General features: G+C 36.8%; 1 long non-coding RNA gene across 2 annotated transcripts; it reads left to right on the forward strand.

Moving 5' to 3' along the window:
- The first annotated feature begins 3536 nt into the window (after positions 1-3536).
- LOC105372678 (uncharacterized) lies at positions 3537-9400 on the forward strand. Of its 2 annotated transcripts, none has more exons than XR_001754724.1 (3): positions 3537-3665; positions 5735-5800; positions 9296-9400. It is a non-coding gene; the product is annotated as an uncharacterized LOC105372678 (long non-coding RNA). The 2 variants fall into 2 exon arrangements; XR_001754723.1 differs by lacking the exon at positions 9296-9400 and adding an exon at positions 6160-6250.

The raw sequence follows: 9400 nt of genomic DNA on the forward strand, positions 1-9400 counted from the left end.
GCCTTTGACAAAATTCAACAACCCTTCATGCTAAAAACTCTCAATAAATTAGGTATTGATGGGAAGTATCTCAAAATAATAAGAGCTTTCTATGACAAACCCACAGCCAATATCATACTGAATGGGCAAAAACTGGAAGCATTCCCTTTGAAAACTGGCACAAGACAGGGATGCCCTCTCTCACCACTCCTATTCAACATAGTGTTGGAAGTTCTGGACAGGGCAATTAGGCAGGAGAAGGAAATAAAGGGTATTCAATTAGGAAAAGAGGAAGTCAAATTGTCCCTGTTTGCAGATGACATGATTGTATATCTAGAAAACCCCATTGTCTCAGCCCAAAATCTCCTTAAGCTGATAAGCAACTTCAGCAAAGTCTCAGGATACAAAATCAATGTACAAAAATCACAAGCATTCTTACACACCAATAACAGACAAACAGAGAGCCAAATCATGAGTGAACTCCCATTCACAATTGCTTCAAAGAGAATAAAATACCTAGGAATCCAAATTACAAGGGACGTGAAGGACCTCTTCAAGGAGAACTACAAACCACTGCTCAAGGAAATAAAAGAGGATACAAACAAATGGAAGAACATTCCATGCTCATGGGTAGGAAGAATCAATATTGTGAAAATAGCCATACTGCCCAAGATAATTTACAGATTAAATGCCATCCCCATCAAGCTACTAATGACTTTCTTCACAGAATTGGAAAAAACTACTTTAAAGTTCATATGGAACCAAAAAAGAGCCCGCATCGCCAAGTCAATCCTAAGCCAAAAGAACAAAGCTGGAGGCATCACGCTACCTGACTTCAAACTATACTACAAGCCTACAGTAACCAAAACAGCATGGTACTGGCACCAAAACAGAGCTATAGAGCAATGGAACAGAACAGAGCCCTCAGAAATAACGACACATATCTACAACTATCTGACCTTTGACAAACCTGAGAAAAACAAGCAATGGGGAAAGGATTCCCTATTTAATAAATGGTGCTGGGAAAACTGGCTAGCCATATGTAGAAAGCTGAAACTGGATCCCTTCCTTACACCTTATACAAAAATCAGTTCAAAATGGATTAAAGACTTAAACGTTAGACCTAAAACCATAAAAACCCAAGAAGAAAACCTAGGCATTACCATTCAGGACATAGGCATGGGCAAGGACTTCATGTCTAAAACACAAAAAGCAATGGCAACAAAAGCCAAAATTGACAAAGGGGATCTAATTAAACTAAAGAGCTTCTGCACAGCAAAAGAAACTAGCAGCAGTGTGAACAGGCAACCTACAAAATGGGAGAAAATTTTTGCAACCTACTCATCTGACAAAGGGCTAATATCCAGAATCTACAATGAACTCAAACAAATTCACAAGAAAAAAACAAACAACCCCATCAAAAAGTGGGCAAAGGATATGAACAGACACTTCTCAAAAGAAGACATTTATGCAGCCAAAAAACACATGAAAAACTGTTCACCATCACTGGCCATCAGAGAAATGCAAATCAAAACCACAATGAGATACCATCTCACACCACTTAGAATGGCAATCATTAAAAAGTCAGGAAACAACAGGTGCTGGAGAGGATGTGCAGAAATAGGACCACTTTTACACTGTTGGTGGGACTGTAAACTAGTTCAACCCTTGTGGAAGTCAGTGTGGCGATTCCTCAGGGATCTAGAACTAGAAATACCATTTGACCCAGCCATCCCATTACTGGGTATATACCCAAAGGACTATAAATCATGCTGCTATAAAGACACATGCACACGTATGTTTATTGCGGCATTATTCACAATAGCAAAGACTTGGAACCAAGCCAAATGTCTAACAATGATAGACTGGATTCAGAAAATGTGACACATATACACCACGGAATACTATGCAGCCATAAAAAATGATGAGTTCATGTCCTTTGTAGGGACATGGATGAATTGGAAATCATCATTCTCTGTAAACTATCGCAAGAACAAAAAAACCAAACACCTCATATTCTCACTCATAGGTGGGAATTGAACAATGAGAACACATGGAAACAGGAAGGGGAACATGACACTCTGGGGACTGTTGTGGGGTGGGGGGAGGGGGGAGGGATAGCATTGGGAGATATACCTAATGGTAGATGACGAGTTAGTGGGTGCAGCGCACCAGCATGGCACACGTATACATATGTAACTTAGATTTTTTTTTTTTTAGACAAGGCCTTGCTCTGTCACTCAGGCTGGACTGCAGTGGCACAAACACAGCTTACTACAGCCTCAACCTACCAGGCTCAAGTGATCCTCCAATCTCAGCCTCCCAAGTAGCCGGGACCACAGGTGCACACCAAAATGCCTGGCTAATTTTTAAACTTTTTGTAGAGATGGGGTCTCACCATGTTGCCCAGGCTGGTCTCAAACTCCTGGGCTCAAGAAATACTCCTGCCTTGGCTTCCCAAAGTGCTAGAATTACAAGAGTGAGCCACTATGCTCAGGCTTATAATTTTTTAAAATTATTATTTATCAAGTAGTTCAACAATTTCTGTTCTTCCTTAATCACAAAAGCATTCAGAAAAATAAATTGTTCTCTAAGAGTAGATTTAGCGAGGCTCCATATATTCTAACCTCTTGTTTTATTGTTATTTTGTTCAAAGACTTTAATTTATTTGAGAGATTTTTCTTCATTTTTGGCAACCTGTTTATCTGAAAATCTACAGTCCTGAAAGATTATTTCTTTATCCTTGAAATGTAAATGTTTTACTAATATGCTTGTCTTATTTAATTTGGCAGGACTAATCGTTGGTCTTTTTGATTTTTAGATTTAATTATTTGGCTGGTTGGGTTTTTTTAATGTTTGAGATTTAGACTCACTATGCCTGTGTTCTCTTTTTCTGCAATTCTTGTTTTGTAGATTTCCTGGAACTATCCTCATCTCTTATTTTTTTCGCTCATCATTTTTAACACTTCTTTTTTGCCATAGAATTATGGGTAATTTTTTTGATTTGCCTTCCATGGAACAAATTCTATTTTTTTCAGTACCCACTCTGCAGTTCATTATCCCCACCTAAGTTCAATCATTACTTAAATTTCCTTGCAGACATTTCAGTGACAGATTATTCCTTCTTCCTACTTATTCTAACTCTGTAAATGTACTCATAAAGTAAATCTTAACAATGCAATTATTTTTTCAACTATTCCCCTAGTTTTGTAGCCAATCTATTTTTTAAAGGGGCATTTCCCTTAATTCTTTATGGTTATTCATGACTTAAAACTGTAGCAGATTGAATATACTCTTTGGTGAACGATTTCTGTTTTAGCATCTTTTAGTTTTGTGTACCTGCAGGCCCCTTTTCTGGTTCACCTCCACCTTTCTAAAGTAAAGGCCTGATTTATTATTCTCATCTACTTATTTCCTGGAAATTGTATTGTAGTTCTCACAAGTATTTAGGCTAGTCCTATCTGCACTCTATGTGGCTAAAAGTACCAAAATATCTACCATATTTAGGGCCTTTTCCTGAGTTCTAAAATTATTCCTATTTTTATCTTCAGCTGGTCATATCCTGAAGACTTTAGAACTCTGGCCACATGTTACCCAGAAGATGACAGATGATGGATCATGATTTTGAATTTCAGGAACAACCACTACCTCTTTATCCAATAACCACATAAGCAATCACAAATCAAGTAAGAAGCAAAATCTTCAGGGATGCTGGGATGGAGATATATAAGTTTTCAGAAAGTACCAAAATACACATGATTTTGAAATAGGTTGATTTTAAAGGGAGGCCTATATCCTTGAGGTAAACTTTTCCCAGTAACAAGCTTATTAAAATCTCTTTCTGCTACACTCCACAAGAAAGACGGAGGAACAGAAGAGAAAAGGGCTTTTAGTAAGAGTATATGGACTTTTTTTTTTTTTGACCCAAGGTCTTGCTTTGTCACCTAGGATGTAGTGCACTGGCGTGATCACAGCTCACTGAAGTGTGGAGCTCCTAGGCTCAAGCAATCCTCCCACCCTAGCTTCCCAAGTAGCTGGGACTACAGGTGCAAGCCACTATCTCCAGCTAATTTTTCTATTTTTTGTAGACATGGGGCCTCACTATGTTCCCCACGCTGGTCACAAACTCCTGGCCTCAAGCAATCCTCAATCCTCCTGCCTTAGCCTCCCAAAGTGCTGGCATTACAGACATAAGCCACCATGGCCATGACCTTTTAAAGCTGTTTTATAATGAAATTTTTAAACATCTTCTCCACACTATTAAAAGCTGATTTTTGTTTACCTTTTATGGGAAAGAGTTTTGCTAACATCTTAGTGAAAAACAGTTGAGAGTTTGTAATAAAACTATTAATAGTCATTCATTTATTCAATCAATACATATTTATGCAATACCTACTAGGTTCTAGAATAATGGCTGGTACATTACATATATTGATATAACGAGGAACAAATCCAATCCCTAACCTCAATCTATGTAATTTGCAAGTCTCTACAGACAAATAGATTACGGATAGACAGATAAATAGATATTAAACATATATGTATGTATAATAAGCCACAAGTACACATATACTTTTAGAATTGAACAAATGTGTATTATCTCCTTACTTAAAGAGAACTAGGTATAGAATATTCATTAATGTATAAGCATTCTAATTAATTGTTACAGGTTGAAATGAATGTGAGTGTATATATGCACTCATATGAAAACTTCATACTAAATGATGTAGAACACATTGCTTACACCAACAGTACCCTTTTGTCTTCTCAACACATCCTTTTTATCCTTTAATAAAGTCCATGGTTTTCAAAAAATAGACATTATTAAGGGAATGAGCTGAATTTCAGGCATCTACAGTTGGTTTATCATCAACTTACATTTTGTAAGTGTTCAACATCAACACTTACAAAAGAAATTTTACATTTGGCTGTACCATACTGTAAAAATAAAAAGCAACAATAATCACATCAACAAGACTATGTTTGTTAAATATTTCCATAACTTCTGCCTGTTGATGGCTTCCGGCTTTCCTACAATGGGTAGCATTTCAGATTCTGACTGATAAGCAAAGAGCTAAAGTGATTGCTAAAAACTCTAGAGAATTTTAGGTTAAAAAAGTCGTAGGTGTTTCATTTAGACACCTATGTCTGTTGATTTACTTTTGGTTTGTTTGTATGGCTCTCACAAATTTCTGGAAAAAGAAAAATGATCAGAGAGAAGGTTTGAAAGAGTGAGAAAAGCAAAGTGGAAAAAAATAACAACATGATCAGAGATTGTAACTAAGTCTAAATTTGGAAACTTATTTCAGGTTATTTTTATTTTTACTCATCACAGTCAATAATACTGTTGATATTCAAATAGCCATCAAAGCTTTAGCTAAGACATGTTAGAATAAGGGCTCATCTCTGAGGAAATTCATTGAATCTCTCTTCATTGAAAGGGGATGGGCATTTTAACTTTAGGCTTTAATCAAAAATTAAGAATGTATCTCCTGACTTAGATACAACTATAAAAAACACATTAAAATCTAATTACTTTAATAAAAAGATGCCAGCCTTGAAATACTTCTTAAAATTAAAGGTCTGTTATATTTACATTGAGAAGGACAATTTATTTCCTAAGATGCATATAGGCACATACAAATAAACTCCTTCTTTTCTCATTCCTATGAACTTGAATTGTCTTAAAGTTTTGCCAATGACAGTGTATGACCTACTTTGAAAATCAATTATATACTTTTTATTCTTTCATAAGGTCTACAGTTTTTTGGCTCAATTCATGTGAAATGCAATAAACTTGTCCTTCAATCACAGAACACAGGTAAAAATACCTATAAAGCATTTTTAGATATTATTATATAAAATATCAAGTTAAAAGTAAAATAACTGTATAATAGTTTGGGGATAAACTCTTGATAAGTATTCAATAGTCTAGATATAATTTGATCTTCAAAATCTTTCTTACATACTAACTACGTAAGAAATGTAAAATCTTTGGTTGGCAAGTAGAGAAATCAACATGAGATTATTTTTTCTTCTGTTATTTTCCAGGGTTAGGGGAGAGAGAATAATGAGGGCAGAGATTTTGTTTTTATCTAAGACATTATTCATAAAACAACAGGCTAACATGTTGCCTGAGTAAAAGTATGTAACTTCATACTGGCCTTGTTTTTTTAACAGGGAATGAACTGGCATTTTCTCCTGTCAGCTAATGAAACAATTGGGGATCATTGGAGAATAATAAATGGACAATTAACAGCTTTATCTGGAGACAAAGATTTGCCCATCTTTGAATGATGAGTTGGCAATTCTGTGTTTTGGGAGCTTGTTTTGAATGTTCAGAGGGGGAACAATGGAGAACTACAAGTTATTGCATTAAGGGTTTTGCTTATGCATTTATGTATGTATATATTTATTTTTATAGTTGTAAACACAAATGATAAAAACATGCAAAACCCTGTTGCAGCTCAAGGTAACCACTCCCTTTCGTATCATCCCAAGAATATTTCTAGCAAATTCTTGGTACAATGAAAAGTTTAAAATTTAAAACTAGAAAACTCTAAGGTGAAGCATAAGAATTGGACTCCAGGCCGGGTGCAGTGGCTCACACCTGTAATCCCAGCACTTTGGGAGGCCGAGGTGGGAGGATCATGAGATCAGGAGTTCAAGACCAGCCTAACCAACATGGTGAAACCCGTCTCTACTAAAAATACAAAAGTTAACCAGGTGTGGTGATGCGTGCCTGTAATCCCAGCTACTTAGGGGGCTGAGGCAGGAGAATCGCTTGAACCCAGGAGGCAGAGGTTGCAGTGAGCCGAGATCATGCCACTGCACTCCAGCCTGGGTGACAGAGCGAGATTCCATCTCAAAAAAAAAAAAAAAAAAAAAGGAATTGGATTCCAAGGAATAAATCAGTTATTTTTGGGATTTGTATCTTGTCTACAGAGTTAGGTAGCTGAATGTGATAAAAGATTTTTCCAACCACCCTAAATAAATTATGAGACATAACACAATGGAATGCAAATGAGTCATTAAAAATAATCATGTCGACAGTGTAACACAGGGTTTAAGGTCACAAACATTGGTATCAGATAAGCCAAGCTTTAAATCCCCATTCTACCATTTATTAGCTCTATTACTTTAAGCAAGTTATATCTCCTCTCCAGAAGTAACTGACTCAGAGAATTGTAGAAATTAAGTGAGGGGATGCATTTGAAATGCTTATCACAGGGCCTGGTGGAGCCTCAAAACACTTTTATTAAATGAATAAGTAAACATTTAATAGATGTTTGTTCTTATCACAATAATTTTTGACATGGCAATATGTCATGACATATTGACATTTCTGAGTTAAAAGAAATCAGCTGCAGGAACACAGGTAGACTATGATGTCATACCCATGAGTGCCCTGCATGTATTTCACATTGCTGTGTGCACATGAGCTATCTGGAAGGAAGTTCTGAAAATGAATTGCTGCTCTCATGTCATGATCATTTCACTGTATTTCACTCTTTGCTTTGTATTCTCAAGATATCATCTTAGAGAAACCATTAAGGTATATATAAAATCAGTATTGATCGGAGAGGCTTTAACATTTATTCAAATATTCATCAGATGGGGCTGGAGACAGAGATTGGGAATAAAAGATATCAGGGGTAATCTGTCTTTAGAGATCTTATTCAAAGATAAAAGATATAAGCATGGTCTCCTTGCTCATCAGGACCACAAAGAAAATTGTATTACCATTTCTGTGCTACTGTACCACTGTCTTTTTAATTTTATGTTTAATTGATACGTAATAATTGCGCATATTTCTGGGGTACAGTGTGATGTTCCGATACATATATACGATGTATTCTACTGTCTTTTAAACTTCCCATGTAATAAAGAGAAGTGTATTACTCATTTCAAATAACCTCTTAGAGAACTTCTGATACTAGATATCTATAATGTTTTTAAAAGAAAAATGAAGGGGTAGCATTTTCTCTTTGGATTCTTGTCAAACTGCACCTTATCACTCACCAGCTTTTCACAAAAGGAACTCACAGTAACATGCAATGGAATGTGATGGCATAGGACAAACCCATCACCTCAGCTGGCAGTGAAACTTCAATAGTATTATCCTCACACATAAAGTCATTCATTGCCATGCATGATGAAATCCCCAGGCAGTCTCTTTCTGCTTTGAGTTTGTTTAGAAGCGTTTTTAGGATACATCCAGGAAATCTTCAGGGAAAATACTGACCAGGAAGAGCTGGCATTTCCTAGTCTGTGACCCTGAGGGAGATGGCCACCATTGGAGCTTCATATCCTTTTGCTCTGCATCAGTAATCCCTCCAGCAAAGGCTAAGTTGATGGGGTCAATCAGAGAGACAGGATCTGCCCTCTCTGACCCATATTGCGTAGCTTTTATGCACTGAGATCACACCACGGAAAACAAAAGAATACACACAACCTGGAAACAGAAGTAACTTGGCAAATGAGAGGCTTAATGGCTAGAGCTGTGTTATCTAATACTGCAGCTATATGGAGTTTTCTTTTCTTTTTTTTTTTTTTTTTTGAGATGGAGTCTTGCTCTGTCGCCCAGGCTGGAGTACAGTGGTGCAAGCTCCGCCTCCCGAGTTCACGCCATTCTCCTGCCTCAGCCTCCCGAGTAGCTGAGACTACAGGCGCCCACCACCATGCCTGGCTAATTTTTTGTATTTTTAGTAGAGACAGGGTTTCACCGTGCTAGCCAGGATGGTCTCGATCTCCTGACCTCGTGATCCGCCCCTCTCAGCCTCCCAAAGTGCTGGGATTACAGGCGTGAGCACGTCCGGTATGGAGCTTTTAAATTAAAATTAAAAAGCCACTTCTTTAGTCGTAATAGCCACATTTCAAATGTGTAGGTATCTCACGTGACTAGTAGATACCATACCGGACGGCACAAATACAGAACATTTACATCCTTGGGAGAGGAGCTGCCACATAACCTTTTGACCTTCAAAATGTTGTATTACGTGTATGTATTAATTATTCAAAATTAATTATCGTACATTTAAATTTTAAGTAGTAATGTTAATTGTTTTATATAATTTGTATTTGAAACTTCAAAAAGATTACCCATTTTTCATCTGGGGCTACTAGGGTCACAGTCACAAGCACACACTTAAGTGGCTGAATTCAGAAATATTATAGGCTGTTCTCTCCACAGCAAGTGTAACAACTTAAAAATAATGTAAGGCACATTTTAATTATAATGATGAAATAAAAAGCGCTGGTTTTGCTTCAAAGGCTAATAATAAATTGCTTTTTTAACATTTATTTTCACTCCCAGGTACAGGAACTGTATCACAGATGGAGAGTATAACCAGAGAAGTGTCAAATGGTATATATTGAGCATTAGATTCAAACTGTGCACAGCAGGGCCATAGAGTGACAC

Source organism: Homo sapiens, chromosome 20 (assembly GCF_000001405.40).
Source record: "Homo sapiens chromosome 20, GRCh38.p14 Primary Assembly".
Lineage (NCBI taxonomy): Eukaryota > Metazoa > Chordata > Mammalia > Primates > Hominidae > Homo > Homo sapiens.